General features: G+C 51.6%; 1 protein-coding gene across 3 annotated transcripts in view, besides 1 other annotated feature; it reads left to right on the top strand.

Moving 5' to 3' along the window:
- The window catches only part of CNGB1 (cyclic nucleotide gated channel subunit beta 1), an 88789-nt gene continuing 75455 nt past the window's right edge, over positions 4171 to 17504 (top strand). For 2 of the 3 annotated variants that reach the window (NM_001297.5, NM_001135639.2), the window contains exons 1-11: positions 4171 to 4239; positions 8005 to 8171; positions 10755 to 10812; positions 11097 to 11169; positions 12235 to 12325; positions 12427 to 12457; positions 12689 to 12734; positions 14384 to 14459; positions 14769 to 14817; positions 15234 to 15411; positions 16814 to 16889. In NM_001297.5, coding sequence (NP_001288.3) covers positions 8013 to 8171; positions 10755 to 10812; positions 11097 to 11169; positions 12235 to 12325; positions 12427 to 12457; positions 12689 to 12734; positions 14384 to 14459; positions 14769 to 14817; positions 15234 to 15411; positions 16814 to 16889 — 837 coding nt within the window. In that variant the 5' untranslated portion in view covers positions 4171 to 4239; positions 8005 to 8012. The remainder of the gene's footprint in view (positions 4240 to 8004; positions 8172 to 10754; positions 10813 to 11096; positions 11170 to 12234; positions 12326 to 12426; positions 12458 to 12688; positions 12735 to 14383; positions 14460 to 14768; positions 14818 to 15233; positions 15412 to 16813; positions 16890 to 17504) is intronic. The other variant, NM_001286130.2, reaches the window with a different exon arrangement.
- Positions 10215 to 10714: an enhancer, noted in NCBI's record as "H3K4me1 hESC enhancer chr16:57998489-57998988 (GRCh37/hg19 assembly coordinates)". NCBI's record gives its function as "activates a minimal SCP1, AML or CMV promoter by ChIP-STARR-seq in primed H9 embryonic stem cells {active_cell/tissue: H9 hESC(primed)}" and the evidence as "EXISTENCE:reporter gene assay evidence [ECO:0000049][PMID:30033119]".

Here is a 17504-nt window from a genome sequence, read left to right as displayed (position 1 = left end):
GAGCAGATCACTTGAGGTTGGGAGTTTGAGACCAGCCTGGCCAACATGGTGAAAACCTGTCTCTACTGAAAACACAAAAATTAGCTGGGCGTGGTGGTGCAAGCCTGTAATCCCAGCTACTCAGGACGCTGAGGCAGGAGAATCGCTTGAACCTGGGAGGCGGAGGTTGCAGTGAGCCGAGATCGCAGCATCGCACTCCAGTCTGGGCGGCAAGAGCAAGACTTCGTCTCAAAAAAAAAAAAGTATATATCTTCACAAAGACTTGCACACAAATGTTCATAGCAACATGATGTATCGCCAAAAAGTGGAAACAACCTGTGTCCACTGATGAGTGGATAAACTGTGGTGCGTCTATACCATGCAATACTCTTGGGCAATGAAAAGAAATGAAGTTCTGATACAAGCTACGAGGTGGATGAACCTCATAAAACATTACGCTACATCAAAGAAGCCAGATGTGAAAACTCACATATTGTATGACCCATTTATATAAAATGTCCAGGAAAGACAAATCTATAGACGCAGAAAGCAGATGTGTGGTTGCCTGGGACTGGGGTGTACGAATGAAGAGTGGTTATCATCTGGTGTGAGGGGTCTTACTGGGGCAACGGGAATGTTCTAAAACCAGATGTGGCAAGAGTTGCACAGTTCAGTCAATGTGTTAAAAATCATGAGTTAGGCCGGGGCGGTGGCTCACGCCTGTAATTCCAGCCCTTTGGGAACCCCGAGTGGGTGGATTGCTTGAGCCCGGGAGTTCGAGACCAGCCTGGGAAACATGGCGAAACCCTGTCTCTACAAAAAATATGAAAATTAAATGGGCATGGTGGCATGTGCCTGTGGTCACAGCTACTTGGGAGGCTGAGGTGGGATAATCACTTCAGCTCAGAAGGTCGAGGCTGCGGTGAGCTATGATCACGCCACTGCACTCCAGCCTGGGTGATAGAGTGACACCCTGTCTTAAATAAATAAATAAATAATAAGTAATATAAAAGTCATTGAGTTGTATACTTACCATGGGTGAATTTTATGGCATATATATTCCCATAAGCTTGTTTTGAAAAATAGATGCCAGCCAAGTTAGTAAAAGAAAGCAAGACATTGGCCCTGCCAGTCCCTAGAAGCTTCCACATACACCTTCCCAATTACAACCCCCAACCCAGCAAGAAGGAACCACTCTCCCATCTTGTAGTACAACCTGTGCTTTTATTTATGGGCAACTATGGAAAACTTTATTTAACAACTCTAGGCTTTATAGAAAACTAGAGGTGGCAAATGTACTTGTGTTTGTAGCCATAGACAGGACAGACTAATTTTGCCTTTTGGGAATTTTGTATGCATGGATCACTGGGGTCTTCTTTTGAATCTGGCTTCTTTCTCTCCATATATATGCACATGAGTTTCATCCAAACTTTAGCCACTGTGTGTGGCTGTGTTTTGCTCATTTTCCCCACCCTAGAGCCCACTACTGTTCCCTCAGGCTCATCTAATTTTCCCTCCTTCCCACTCTGCAGGGGCTCCAACTGCCTCTAAGTTGCCCAATCTCAGGACGCATTTCAAGTCTCAGCTCAGACAGTGGCCCCTTGGATCATTCCCTCACCCCAACACAGCCACTACTCTTGGCTTTCACCTCACCCCATGCTTCTGCTTCTCCATCCCCATCCCTGGCAGCTCCTTCAGGCTCCTTTACCAGCTCCTGCTCTTTTTGCATCCTCTGAGTGAGCCCGTGTTCCAGGTGCCACCTCTGGTCATCTTTGTTTCCTTGGGTTTCCGAGGTGATATCAGTCAGTCCTGTGGCTTTAAGCATCATCTGCAAGCTGAGGCCTCCAAAATTTCTATCTCCTGTAGACCTCTCCCTAAGTCTCACACACACACACACACACACACACACACACACACACATTTCAACCTGGATGTCTCTCAGACTTTTTTTTTTTTTTGCTTAGGCTGGAGTGCAGTGGTGTGATCTTGGCTCACTGCAACATCCACCCACCGGGTTCAGGCAATTCTCCTGCCTCAGCCTCCAGAGCAGCTGGGATTATAGGCACCTGCCACCACACCCGACTAATTTTTGTATTTTTAGTAGAGACGGAGTTTTGCCATGTTGGCCAGGCTGGTCTTGAACTCCTGACCTCAGGTGATCCACCTGCTTTGGCCTCCCAAAGTGCTAGGATTACAGGCGTGAGCCACTGCACCCAGCCTCTCTCAGACATCTTAACAAAGTAGTGCTCATGATTTTCCCTCCAAAATTCTTCCTCCAAACTTCCAGCCTCAGGCTTCTTCTTTTCAGTACATGTGTAAACCAGCCTGGGGCGGTTTACTGGTTCACCCACTAAACCAGCTACCCAGTTTCCCAGGGTGAGCCCCTCAATGCCCGCCTTTTTCCTCCCCTTTCCCTTCTATCTGTACTCCCACCAGCATAGTCCAAGCCCCATCATCCCTCCCGTCAGGCTGCAGGCAAGGGCGAATGTCACCTGTGTTAGTCTCAGGCCCAAGCAGAGCAGAAGGGCTTGCTGCTGTTCCTTGGGGAGGAGCTCTGACCCCTGCAGCCTGGCATATTTGTAGGGAAGGGTCAGGGAGTACATTGAGCTTTACCGTTGGGGTCTGGCCTTGCTGGCAGAAAGAACTTTCTTGTGAATCACTTGCCATGTAGAGGTTGCATTATCAGAGGTCTTGAAGCCCAACACTGGAGGGGAAGCCAGGGGTCATCCAGTCACCAATCAGCTTGTCCCTCCGCAGCCTCCTGACCAGTTTCCTGTTTCCATGCTTGCCTGCTACACAGAGCCACACAGATCATGCCCAGCCCCTGTTCAAAACCATCATCTAAAACTACACTCCTTCCTGTGGCTTACAGTCTCACAACATCTGCCCCTGCCCTCTGTCAACCTCATCTCCCACCACTCTCCCCTGCACCCGTTAAGCTCCAGGCTCCCCGGTTCCCATTCTGCTCCTCAAGGCTCATTCCAGCCTCAGAACCTTTCTCGTTGCAGTGTCCTTGGCCTGGAGCACCACTCACCCAGCTTTTTTCACAGCTGAGTCTTTCTTACTTTTCATGTCTCAGTTCAAATATACATCCACCTCGTCATAGGGGCCTGCCTACCTGCCCCTACTGCCCTCCACAACATGCTTCTGCCCTGTTTGTTTCTTTTATGGCACTTAGCATAATTTGCAATATTCTTTATTTGTCAGTAATCTCCTCCATTGGAATGTAAGCTCCATGAGGACAGGGCCTATGTCTGTCTTGCTCAGTGTGCCAAGGCTGGCACACTGCCAGGCACAAAGGAAGAGCTCTAGGCCAGGTGCAGGGGCTTACATCTGTAATCCCAATACTATGAGAGGCTGAGGCAGGAGGATTGCTTGCATCCAGGAGTTTGAGAGGTTGAGGCTGCAATGAGCTGTGATTGCACCACTTCACTTAGCCTGAGTGACAGAGAGAGACTGTGGCTTAAAAAAAAAAAAAAAAAAAGGAAAGGAAAGGAAAGGAAGAACTCTAGAAATGGTGCGGATAATTAAGTCAAGTCCTGCCCTTTGCCAAATATCCCTCAGGGCCACCACACTGAGCCCCTCTTCCTTGGGCCCTGTCCCTTGCACCCTCTCCTCCTAGATCTCTGTATCCCTTCAAGTGTCCAGCCTCAGTTCACAGGGCAGGTCAGATGCCTCAGTCATCTGCCGGGTCTTGGATCCATCCTCAAGGCCCAGGCCTGGGACACAGCCTTTCTGGCAGAGCCCAAGGCAGGGCTGCTGAGACCCTGCCCAGAGAAGACTCTAAGCCAGAAAGAACCTGCCTGCGTCCTGGCCTGGGGGCTGGAGAGTTGGGGTACACCTCTTGCCACCGCTGAGTGGGAGCTGACAAGCCCCTGCTACCATGAGGAGTCTCCAGGCATCACATGGGAACTCCAAGCTGTTATTCTCCCATCAGCCACTCCGTGTCTTGGCCAAGGTGTATGGGAAGCCAGGCCCCTGGTAAGCCGGGCAGGTCCCCTGGCAACCCATGGTGCTCCAAACCTGGGCCATGCAGGAGCCCTTCCCTGGGGCCCACATCCTTGCTGGACCCTGGGAGTTGGGAGGTGCTGCTGGTTTCCTGGGCATCAACAGCCTCTTTTCTCCCCCTCCCCCATTCAGCACCTGCTAATCCTTTGCACACGGCCCAGCTACTGCCAATTAATCTTCCTTGTGTCTGAGGGGCCAGCTACGAGTGGCAGCAAGAAGGCAATTCCTGGCTGGCGGTTGGCATCTAAGCAGGTAACTCAGGGTGAGGTGGAGGCTCGGTGGGACCCCGAGGGGATCCCCATGTTCTCCCTCTAGAAAGGCATTTAGGTAGGACCAAACTGGCACGGTGGGAAACCTGTGGCTTCCCTCTATCTGGTGGAGCTTGGACTTTAGCGGGCATCAGAATTTTCAGGACAGCTTGTACAATGCAAATTCCTAGGTCCCCCAGGAGGACTTGGGGGACCTAGGAATCTATATTTTCACTAGCTCTCCAGAAGACTCTGGAAATGCTGGTGGTGCAACACCATGGCTCCCCGAGCTGCCACTCGTGGGTCCCCCTTCCCACCTGAGCCTCCCTCATCAAAGTGCAGTCAGCAGGGACACGGGTGAAAGATGGGAGGGACCTGCAAAAATTCTCATTTAGGAGGAAAAAGAAAAATGGGGGATCGGGGAGGCTTCCTTAGTCATTTCCAGAAGGTTTAGAAATGCAAGCGAGAATTGCTGCCTGCTGGGAAGGGTCTACAGGCCTGGCCCGCGGAAGAGGCCAACACTCGGCAAATGCCACGACTACCTGGGAATACATGTGGGGCAGCTGGAATCGGGCAGACCTGAGTGTAAACTCAAGTTGGCCACTGCCGGCTGTGCTGCTTCAGGCGATTCTGTTGACCTTTCTGTGCTACATAATGAAAATTCTTATTTTACTGAGTGCAGGGGCTGGGCGGGGCGTGGTGGTGAGAGCGAGGATGAGTATGATCATGGGTAGAATGCACTTAGCTCAGCCCTGGCTCTCGGGGCTGCCTGGGGCTGGCTGGGGTCAGTGAAATCTGCTATCCCAACATGTGAGCTCTGGCAGTCCCGACCTGGGAAAACATTGTGTCTGTGCCCCCACCTTCAGGGAAATGGAAGACCAGAGGGGTCATGTCTGGCCCAAGTTCATTTTTTGGGAGGCTGAGCCAGGGATCTGACACTTAGAGCTGTGTTCCCACCACAGCCTCTCGTGGGAGAGGCTGGGCTGCTGATGCCAGAGTGGGAACAGAGGTCAGGGCTGTAAGTAGAGGACAGGCAGCACAGCCGTGGGCTCTGGGGAGCTGGGCTTGGGGGCAAGGATCCTGGGCCTGGGCTGCCCTCTTCAGCTGGGGCCAGGGTCCCTGGCAGAAAGGGGCATACAGACTCTCTGCCAAAGCCCGGGTTGCCCATGGCTGGGAGAGGGGTGGGGCACACTCATGTGGGGCAAGAACACATCTAGGGCTAGGAGTTAGCACACACTGACCTGCACGCTGCGCACTGGCCAGGCCATCCTGCAGGGGTTCAGTCATAAGGGCTGGGGCTCCCCATTCCCCAAGGAGAAATCAACCAGAAACAACCTGTACTTAAGGTAGGACTGAAATAACACAGTATATCATGAAAAAAGTCTTACCTGGCATTTTATCTTTTTCTTTCTTTCTTTTTTTAAAATATAGCACTATAAGCATTTTATTTCAGTTTTGAGACAGGGTCTTACTCTGTCGACCAGGCTGGAGTGCAATGGCTGAGTGCAATCTCCACCTTTTGGGCTCCAGTGATTCTCGTGCCTCAGCCTCCCGAGTAACTGGTACTACAGGCACGTGCCACCACGCTGGGCTAATTTTTTGTATTTTTGGTAGAGACAGGGTTTCATCATGTTGCCCAGGCTGGTCTCGAACTCCTGAGCTCAAGCGATCTGCCTGCCTCAGCCTCCTGAAGTGCTGGGATTGCAGGTGTGAGCCACACCATGCCCAGCCTTTTTGTTTGTCTGTTTGTTTTTGAGAAGGAGTCTTGCTCTGTCACCCAGGCAGGCTGGAGTGCAGTGGCACGATCTCGGCTCACTGCAACCTCTGCCTCCCGGGTTCAAGTGATTCTCCCACCTCAGCCTCCGGAGTAGCTGGGATTACAAGTGCACACCACCACACCCAGCTAATTTTTGTATTTTTAGTGGAGATGGGGTTTCACCATGTTGGCTAGGCTGATCTCGAACTCCTGACCTCTGGTGATCTGCCTGCCTTCACCTCCCAAAGTGCTGGGATTACAGGCGTGAGCTACCACAACAGGCCCATTTTTTTTTCTTTTTTTGAGACAGGATCTTGCTTTGTTACCCAGGCAGAAGTGCAGTGGCATGATCACTGAAGCCTCGACCCCTTGCCTCAGCCTCCTGAGTAGCTGGGACTACAGGTGCACACCACCATAACAGGCTTTTTTTTTTTTTTTTTTTAAATAGAGACAGGGTCTTGATATGTTGCCCACAGTGGTCTCGAACTCCTGAGCTCAAGTGATCCTCCCATCTTGGCCTCCCAAAGTGCTGGGATCACAGGCATGAGCCTCTGCACCCAGCCCATTTTATCTTAAAAATTAAAAAATGATGAACATAGGTTAAGTTTATCTTAAGACAGATTTTCCACTCATGTAATTACTCATAATGAATATTTTTACTTATAATGAGATTATGTAGTACATGCATATTACACAATTAGTGTTTTCATTTGATACCATGTAATAGTCATAGTCAACATTTATTAAGCCCTCGGCATGTGCCAGTCACTGTTCTGAGTATGTTACATTTATTATTATTATTATTATTTTTGAGACAGGATCTCACTCTGTCACCCAGGCTGGAGTGCAGTGGCACGATCTTGGTTCACTGCAACCTCTACCTCCTGGGTTCAAGAGATTCTCATGCCTCAGCCTCCTGAGTAGCTGGGATTACAGGTGCCTGCAACCATGCCCAGCTAATTTTTGTATTTTTAGTAGACAAGGGGCTTCCCCATGTTGCCAGGCTGCTCTGGATCTCCTGACCACAAGTGATCCACCCACCTCAGCCTCCCAAAGTGCTGGGATTATAGGTGTGAGCCACTGCCCTTGGCCTGAGTATGTTACACTTATCAATTCATTTTATCCTCACAATTAGCCCATGAGGTAGGTACTATTAATATCCCCATTTTACAGACAAGCAAACTGAGGCACAGAGACATTAACTGATCTGCTCATGACTTGACTTCAGAGCAGGCACATCTTCTTGCTAGCTCAATTAGACTGCTTCTTTCTTTTTAATGCCCCCATAATATTCTATTATTGGGTATAGTGTAACTTATTTAATACATGCCCCTCTTAGAGATGAACATTTAGTTACATGTAGGTACTTTCCAATAACCAGTCTCCTCTTGATGAATATTTGGGTGTTTTTCATCTTTTGCTATAACATTGTTGCAACCAGCTTCTTTGTACACATATATTTATGGCCTTGAGTAATTCTATAAGGTAAATACCTAGAGATATAATTGCAGAAATATATACACACACACATATCTGTGTGTATATATGTAATATGTATGTGTATATGTATATCAAATATATATATGTATGTGTATATATATTATATATTTTTTGAGACAGGGTCTCACTCTGTTGTGCAGGCTGGAGTACAGTGGTGCATCATGACCCACTGCTGCCTCGACCTCCTAGGCTCAAACGATCCTCCCACCTCAGCCTCCTGAGTAGCTGGGACTACAGGAGTGAGCCACTACACCTGGCTAATTTAAAAAATATTTTGTAGAGACGAGGGTCTCGCTGTCTTGCCCAGGCTGATCTCAAACTCCTGGATTCAAGCAATCGGCCCATCTCAGCCTCCCAAATTGCTGGGATTACAGGTGTGAGCCACCGCACCCAGTCGAAATGTTTTTAAAGTTGATGAAGGAAAAGGAAATGTACAACTCATAAGAGTGGCCCATAAGTGGCGGGAGCTACTGTGAGTGCTCCAGGGAGGGCTAAGGACTCTGTCTCCTACAGGCATCAGGATGTTGGGCTGGGTCCAGAGGGTGCTGCCTCAGCCCCCAGGGACCCCTCGGAAGACCAAGATGCAGGAGGAAGAGGAAGTGGAACCAGAGCCAGAGATGGAGGCGGAGGTGGAACCAGAACCGAATCCTGAGGAGGCCGAGACAGAGTCCGAGTCCATGGTGAGAGGTAGAGCGGGAGGAGGGGCAGGCCGGCCTCGCTGCTCAGGGTCTTCCCAGTTTGGGCCATCTGCTCTCCAGGGACTTTCTACAGCAGAAAAGGTTGGCATCAGAAGGAAAAGTGGGGGTCACAGGGTCCCACACTTGTTCGAGTGAGAAAACTCAGGTTCAGACAGTGGGTAGGGCTTGCCCAAGGCTAACATTTTCTGTAAAAGGATAGATAGTAAATATTTTAGGCTTTGTGAGTGATGCTATCTCTGCTAATTACTCAACTCTGCCATTATAGTGTGAAAACAGTTATAGGTAATGCATGAATGAATGAGCATAGCTGGGTTCCAATAAAATTTTATTTATAAAAACAAGCAATAGCCTAGATTTGGCCCACAGGTCGTATTTTGCCAACCTCTAGAGTTCAGAACAGAGCTACTCACAGGAGCCAGTCCATGAACTGTTTATTACTAGTCCATGATGATTAAACAGTTTGTACCAGAATGTAAATCTACTCTGTAGCTAAGTACACTGATTAGTTTAGTTGCTATTTATTTTGTACCAAGACTTTCTCAATGAAGGAAGCAGTGCATTGATAAACATTCTGGTGCAAACTGCTTAATCATCATGGACCAGTAACAGTTTGCAGACTGGCACAGATCCATGGACCACACTGTGGAGTATTTCTCCAGAACTTTTCCTCTGCAACCCATCCATTCAGGAGCTGGATGACAACTAATTCAGCAGCTCAATTCGACACATTTGATTTAGCTTCTAATTGATGCCAGGCCCTGTGGTCAGTGCTGAAAGCATAAAGATGAATAGGCATTGCCCCGGGGACTCAGCAGACAAGAGCCCAGCCAGTTCATTCTGCCAAGAGACATAGGTGGAGAGGAGGGAACGTGGTGAGTCTCAACATTGGCCTCAACTCTCCCCTTCTTGGGGAGCCAAATAAGTGTGTCAGACCAAACTATGGGAGCTCAGAAGAGGGAGAGTCATCTTAACTTTGGAGATTGGAGGCTGATGGGGGAGAGCTTCTTAGACGCAGAGGGTGGAGCAGAATTTTAACTGAGGGAGATGGAGAGGCTGGGCATTCCTGGCAGAGGAAAGGCTGTTACTAGAGAAGGGCAGGGTGTGTTTAGGAAACAGGTATAGGGTGTGCGTATGCATGTGTATATGTTGCATGTATATACACGTATATGTACATATATGTGTGTAGTGTGCCCTTGGTATGTCTGTGTGTGCACACATGTATTTGCACAATGGGTATACATGACAATGTATGTGAACATGTATATGTACATGAATGCATGTATATGTGTTTGCACATATGTTTATGTGCACATGTATTAGTATGTCTGTGGTTCCATGTGCTTGTGTGACATGCTAGTGTGTATGTGTGTGTATGTGTCTACATATTTCTGAGTATGTGAGTGTACTCATGTATTTCTATGTATCTGCATGTTTGTGCATCTGTGAATGTGTATATACACATATTTGCCTGTCTCCACATGTGTATATATACACATTTTGTGTCTGTGCATGGATGTTCATGTATATTTAGGTGCAGAAATCTGTGTGTATATGCATGTCCATATGGACATGCTTCTGTGTATGTGCAAATATGCACATGTGTGTGACTGAGCATATGTGTGTATACTCATATTTCTGCACCTGTATACATCTGCAATGTACCTATGCATATGTGCATGTTGTGTGTCTGTACACAGGCAGTTATACGCATGTATGTATCTGTATGAATGCATGTGTGTATATGCACGTTTGCATATGACTGTATGCACATATATGTGTTGGGGCATGCATGCATATGTACATACACATGTATATGTACATATGTTTTTGCCTGTACGTGTGTGCACATGCACTTATTTTTGTGTCTGTGCATGTGTGTGTATATATGCATGTTGGTATTTGTGTGTCATTGTATACATGCATATGTATGTGTATATATGCTCACATTGTATGTCTGTTCATGTATGTATGTGCATGAGAGTGAGTATGCACACATTTATGTGTCTGTGTATGTATGTGCATGTATATTTGTTTGTACATACACATAAGTGCACGTAGTAGCAGGAGGTGTGGCTGCAGAGGCAGGTGAAAGGCAGATGGCAGAGACCAAACTCCACCTAGCTACTAGGGAGGAATGGAAAGTTTGGGCCAGAAGGAGAGGGAGAGCACTGGCAGAGGATGAGGGGCGTGGGCTCCTCTCACCTCCCTCTTCCCCTCAGCCAGCCCCAAGGCTTCATAACTATCTCTAAATGGTCCTTTCTCCTCTCAGGCCACTGAAGTGGGGCAGCCTCCTGGGGATGTTGTAGGCCTGGGAGGCTTGGAGGCCACCTTGGACCTTGGGGGCTGTGAGGGCCCCCAGCCCCAGATGAGGGGTCCCTGGGGCTAGGAGGAAGGGAGTATCCCAGGTGGAAGGTAAGGCCAACAGGATTTACAGAGATGATCCTGAGGAAAGAGTCGTTCAGGTCTTTTGTGGGGCAGGGATCCCTTGAGGGAGAATCAGGCTGCCCCTGTCCAAACCAGGCTGGTCTCACCTAGGACTTACATGATCCTGTTCGAACCCTCTAGCCCCCCGAAGAGTCATTCAAGGAGGAGGAAGTGGCTGTGGCAGACCCAAGCCCTCAGGGTGAGTGCGAGTGCTGAAGCCCAGGCTGGCATGGCAGGGGGGCCCGCATTCTCCCCTCGGAGCCGCAGAGCCCACGAGGCTGGCGGACCCATTTCACAGATGAGGAAACTGAGACTCAGAGAAGCTAAGGGTGGGCTCCCAGAGACTTCAGTTGAGCTGAGCTGGAGCCTGGCTTTCTGACCCCTGGGGGTCTCTCTCCTCTCCCCTGACTTGATCTCCCCAAGCAGGGTAGAAATGGGCCTGTCTGAGGCCCTAGATCTGAAGGATGAGAGATTCTTTTCCAGAGACCAAGGAGGCTGCCCTTACTTCCACCATATCCCTCCGGGCCCAGGGCGCTGAGATTTCTGAAATGAATAGGTACTGCACCACCCTCCCCTCTCTTCAGGGCCAGCCCGCCTCCCAACTACCCTCCCAGCTAGGGAGCCCTGGGGATGGGGGTGGGGATGGGCACTGCCCTTAGCTCTGCTGTCATTCTGGGGAAAGCCCTGGGACATCCTGGGAATTGGCTGAAGTGAGCTTCAGGTGGAGGGCGGGCTCTCCCTAAGTAAGCCTGAAGCTCCCAGTTTGTAATTTCTGCTGGAAATCCAGTCATGCATTCATCTCCATTCACCCTATTCATTCATTCCTTCACTCATTCATTCATTAGACTGTTAATTCACTCATTCATTCATTAGACTGTTAGCCCCTTGAGGGCAGGGCAATGTGACCAAAAGAAACAGTGGGTCAGAGCTGCATAGTGAGCGCCCCTGTACAGGGGGCCGGACGTTTCTCAGTGCTTGGGTGAGATGCAGGCCCAATGGGGTCAGAGCTTCTGCTTTTCTCAGAAAAGCCAGAAATCCAGGCTTTTGCATGGAATCTCCCAGTTGGCTCAGACATTTCAGCCCATGGTGCTTGGGGCCTGAGCAGGGCTGGGGCTGGGCTGGCCTCAGGCAGGGAGGCTGTGACCTTCACATTTAGGCTGCTCAGCCTGTGCCACAGCATTACACCTGCAGCAAACCTTGGCCCTTTGGGAGCACGATGTGTGCTCAGAGCAGGACAGCAGGAGGCAGGAGGAGAGGGAAGTCAGCTGCTCTGTCCTAAGCATCCCATGGAGGGTGGGCTCTGAATGGCACCCGGTCTGCCTGGCCTCATGAAGCATCAGCATCCCCTATTTTTCAGAGAAGGACGTGGAGCTTTTTGGGGAGGTGATGGGTCTGAAGTCTCACAGTGGGGAGACAGTGGTTTAGGATTCAAGCCAAGTTCTTTTGGACACTGGACTGGCCTTGGGCCAGTGGTACATGTAGGTACTTTCCAATAACCACACCACACACATACAGATGACAGTGACACTCAGGGACAGAGACTCACCTAGTGTCTTGGGCCTCGAGGGCCTCATTGAGCTAGGGGAAGTTGAGGGCGGGCTGGTGTCTCTGTCCATCGCAGTCCCAGCCGCAGGGTACTGACCTGGCTCATGAAGGGCGTAGAGAAGGTGATCCCGCAGCCTGTTCACAGCATCACGGAGGACCCGGCTCAGGTACTGCTGGGGCTGGAGGCTGAAGGGGCCGGGTTGGAGAGGGGCTGTGGGGAGGCTGCCCTTGGGCTCCCTGCCCATGTCTGTCTGTCTGTCCCTGGCAGATCCTGGGGCATGGCAGCACTGGGGACACAGGTAAGAACAAGGGGCAGGATGGCTTTTCAGCAGCAGGGCTGAGGGGCTGAGGGGCTGCTGGGATGGGCCCTGCCCCTTGGGAGCCTCTGCCCAGGCTGGATCTTCTCACCTGACTGACCCTGCTTTGAACCTGGGGTTGAGCTGAGCTCTCGGTGCCCACTCCAGGCTGCCCAGGGGGCTGGGGCAGGTCTCCCGCTGCTGACTGCCTTTCTGTATTTTCTGACCCTGCAGGGTGCACAGATGAACCCAATGAGGCCCTTGAGGCCCAAGACACTAGGTGAGTCCCTATCCCTGAGTGTCACTGTTGTCTGTATGTGTGGGTGGGAGGAACAGGTCCTTGGTTTCAGGAGCAGGGTCTGTTACCACCTCAGGGTGTGACCTTGGACATGCCTCCCGTCTCTTCTGGGCCTGTTTCCAGCCATAGAATGGGGACAGTGGACCGTGTGCTGCTCATGGTTTGTGGTGGGATGTCCCTGGGTGTTCCCAGGGATGACTGAGAGGTCCCTGGGTGGGGCCACCCTCTGAGAATAGGGAGGGGCAGGGATGAGCTCCTCACAGGTGGGCTTCATGTAGGTAGGCTCCGTGTGGAGCCTGGAAGCAGGGCTTGGATCACTGTGGGGGACATCAGGGTGCCTGGGCTGGCCTCAGTGTCTGAGTTCTCAGAGCTGACTCAGGGAGGGGTGGCTGCCCCATCAGTAAGGGTGGCAGACTGGCAGGGGGACTGTGGCGAAGAGGGGAGCCAGGGAGCTCCGAGAAGGGGCCCTGCTTGGTTTCAACTGCCTCTTCCTTGCTGGCGTTTAGGCCCTGTGTGGCCAGATCCTCCAGGTTTTCCAGAGAAGCTAGAAATCTAGCTTTTTATGTAAAACCCTCAATTTTTAGTCAAGAAGTTTTCAGGACACTGTAGACTTCCAAAGTAAGCTTGAAGCTCCCAGTTTGTAGTTTCTGCTGGAAATCCAGAGACATGCATTCATTTCCATTCACCCCATTCATTCGTTCCTTCACTCATTCATTCATTAGACTGCTGGCTCCTTGAGGGCAGGGGCTTTTGTCCTGGTCACTACTGAACCCTTGGTGCCCAGCACAGCACCTGCCACAGAGTGAGGACTCAGCACACATGGGACAAATGAATGCATGAATGAACACACGTATATATAATCACACACTTCATTCACTCATTCATTCATTCATTCATTCATTCATTCATTCATTCCTTGCTGCAGCTCTCTCTCTGTGTCTTTTGGTCCTCTACTTCCTTCTGAGACATATGCAGCTGATTCCTGGGACCACTAAAGCAATTTAGGATGAGGGCACCTAGAGGACTCACCAGCCTTCTTTTGGGCCATACTTGGGGGAACCGGTTGTCCTGGGAACATGGTGCTTCTCTGAAGAGAGTGGAGCTTCCCAGAGGCCAGATGGATTTGGGATCCAATGCTTGATCTTAGGACCAGCCACATAATTTGTGGGGCCCAGGGCAAAATGCAAATGCAGGCCCCTTAAAAGTTTGTTTAAAATGTTTTCAGACTGTGACAGCAGAGTATGAAACCAAAACCAGGTCCTTCTAAGTCTAAGGCTTTGTGTGATGGCACAGGTCACACTCCTGTACAGCCAGCCAGCCCTGTCTGTTCCAGCACAGGGAGCCCCCAGGGCTGCATTCAGGTCCTCAAGCGGCTCTTGCCTCTCCCCTGCTGCCCCAGGAGGCCATGGCTGTGGTTCCAGAGCCTGGTCCAGCCCTGGCTCAGAAATGGAGGCTGACAGGATTTCCCCACCCGCTTGGGGCCCTTTGAGAGTTTCCAGGACAAGGCCCCCACTGTGCAGAACAGGATTGGAGGGCACGGAATGGCTGGTTGAGGCCTGGCCCCGAGGTGGGCTGTTAGTGCGCTGGCCGGTTCCCTCAGGGCACTCTGCTGATCACTGGCCCCTCTGCAGGCCTGGGCTGCGGCTGCTTCTGTGGCTGGAGCAGAATCTGGAAAGAGTGCTTCCTCAGCCCCCCAAATCCTCTGAGGTGAGCCAAGGAAGGGAGAGGCAGGGAGTTGAGTATATGGGGGGGCTTCTGGGGCCCCAGGAGGGACTGCCTCCTCCAGCAGGCTGTCCCCACCCACCCCAGAACTCATGAGGGGGCGATGCCCCACTTTGGAGAGTCCTCTATGGGGAGGAGTGACTGTGAGAGGGGGCCGGGATTCAGAAGGAGAGACACCCCCCACCCCCATCCCCGGCTCACCCGCCTTGGGCCAGGACACAGCTGGTAGTGGCGGTTGGGGAAGCGCACAGAGCTTGCTATGGCCCATGACCTTGCGCCCTGTTTGTCACCCAGGTCTGGAGAGATGAGCCTGCAGTTGCTACAGGTGCTGCCTCAGACCCAGGTACAGGGAGGGGAGCTCGGGAGGGGGCTGCCTGGGATGGTCACGGGCTGGGCTCAGGGATCAACTGGGCCCTGGAGGATCCCCCAGAGGCCCTTAGCCCCCACCCAGACTAGGACGGGGTTCAGGGCTTGCCTGGAGCAGGCTGTTGGCGGGGACACCAGAATCCCCTCCCCAGTCCAGGCTGGGAAGCCAGTGTCCTGGAACAGACTTGTGGGTCTTGGGTAAGTCTCTTCCCCTCCCTGGGTCTCAGTTCCCTTGTCTGTCTGGTCTGTTTGAGGATTGGGATGGGTGAGGTGGTCCCAAAGGGCTCCCCATTCAGTCCTGTTAGCGACTCGAATCTGGCCCCGTGCCCTTGAGGGGTTGGAGGAAGCCCTCAAGGGATGGCGTCTCTAGCTCCTGCTTTCCCCGCTGCTTAGCGCCTCCAGGACGCCCCCAGGAAATGGGGCCCAAGCTGCAGGCCCGGGAGACCCCCTCCCTGCCCACACCCATCCCCCTGCAGCCCAAGGAGGAACCCAAGGAGGCACCAGCTCCAGAGCCCCAGCCCGGCTCCCAGGCCCAGACCTCCTCCCTGCCACCAACCAGGGACCCTGCCAGGTGAGCCACCCTCAATGCAGCGCCTCCCACCAGGGAGCAGGATGAGCACCTTGTCCCCGCCTAACACCCAACCTCCTGGAAACCTGGAAGAAAATTCAACTGGATGTGTGCAGCCTCCTTCCCAAGGCAGCCACATCAGCTTCGTGCCCTTTCCCACATTTTCTATGCACGTCCAAGCTTTCAAGCTTTGGGTACTTTTCTTTTCTTCAACACACACCTGACAGGAGCAAACTATACATACTCGTCTGCACTTTGCTTTTTTGTTTGTTTGTTTGTTTGTTTTTTTGAGACCGAGTCTCGCTCTGTCTCCTAGGCTGGAATGCAGTGGTGCAATCTCTGCTCACTGCAACCTCTGCCTCCTGGGTTCAAGTGATTCTCCTGCCTCAGCCTCCTGAGTAGCTGGGATTACAGGTGCCCGGCTAACTTTTGTATTTTTAGTAGAGACGGGGTTTCGCCATGTTGGCCACGCTAGTCTCAAACTCCTGACCTCAAGCAATCTGACCGCCTTGGCCTCTCAAAGTGCCAGGATTATAGGCATGAGCCACCCGGCCTGGCCTGCTTCCTCTTTTTTTTTTTTCTTAACCTGAAAAATGTGTCTTAGAAGTGCTTTTATTCACACAGGTCTTACTGCATTCTTTCTTGAACAGCTGCATTAAATGGATGCACCAGTTTTTATTTAACCACTCAGTGGACATTTACATTTGTTTTCACTCTTTTGCCACAGTCAATAACCCGTGCATGCATCATTGGGTTCACGCACAAGTAAATCTGGAGGATAAATAAGTGGAAATGGAGTTCCTGGGCCAAAGGATACATATATTTAAAATGGGATACAGGCTGGGTGCAGTGGCTCATGCTTGTAATCCCGGTACTTTGGGAAGCCATGGCAGCAGGAGTTCGAGACCAGCCTGGGCAATATAGAAAGACTCCATCTCTACAAAAAATTAAAAAAAAAAAAAAAAAAAAGCTGGGCATGATGGCATGTGCCTGTAGTCCCAACTACTCAGGGGGCTGAGACAGGAGTGAGATATGATCACATCAGCCTGGGCCACCAAGTCAAGAAAGAAAGATGGGAGAAAAAAGAAGGGAAGGAGGGAAGGAAATCGGGACAGGTATTGCCACATTCCATGTGTGAGATGCCCAAAGTGCACTCCCTTCCGAGAACGGGTGGGAGGGTGGGGGGAGGCCGAGCTACCTGCTAGGGCCTGAACAATAGCCAGAGCACCGAGGGAGGGTGGAGAGGGGGGAGAATGGTCTTCAGGGCTGGAGACCTGGGCTCTGGCTCCTGGCAGGCTCTGCCTTTTGGCAGGCTTGTTTTCTGCCTTGGGAACGAGCTGACTCCAGCCTCAGTTTACCCATGACCCTTCCCACCTGGACACCGCACACTCTCTCCCACCTGCAGGCTGGTGGCATGGGTCCTGCACAGGCTGGAGATGGCCTTGCCGCAGCCAGTGCTACATGGGAAAATAGGGGAACAGGTCAGTGCTGGGCTCATGGAGTGGTGGCCCTGGTGGTGGTGGGAGGGGTCTTGGGAACTTGGGTAAGGAGGAGGATGGTTGGCCCTGTGGCAGAAGCCCAGCTCCCCCAGCCTTCCTGTCTGCATGGCCCACGTTCATTCCACCCACTCCCTGAGACATGCTGGCCCAGCCCCACCTGCCAGGAGTTCACAGTCAGCGGGGGAGGTGCTTCCGTGGGGGAGCAGAGAGGATATGGGGCACAGAAGTGGAGCCTCCTGGGAGCATCAAGAAGGGCTTCCCAGTGGAGGTGGCCTCCAAGCATGTGCAAAGGTCCAGAAATGAGAGATACCTAGATTCTGGGAAGAAGTAAGGCTCACAGGAGCCGGCAGCCCTATGTGCATTCCTGATAGCCTAGGGCTCCAACATGAGTGGCCAGGGGGAGCGCTCATGAGCTCTGTCACCCCTTCTTTTCCTTCCTCAAGAACCGGGAACCTGGCCCTTTTTTCTTGGGTGCAATTGGACGTCTTTATAGAAGCACCTGGAACTGGGAGGTGGGAGGCCTAATCTCTCTCCTGGCTGTGTGGCCTCAGCTCTGGCCCTCTCAGAACTGCAGTTGTCCCAGCTGACCAATGGTCA

This window comes from Homo sapiens, chromosome 16 (assembly GCF_000001405.40).
Source record: "Homo sapiens chromosome 16, GRCh38.p14 Primary Assembly".
NCBI classification, from domain to species: domain Eukaryota; kingdom Metazoa; phylum Chordata; class Mammalia; order Primates; family Hominidae; genus Homo; species Homo sapiens.
This window is presented reverse-complemented; position numbering and strand designations above follow the sequence as displayed.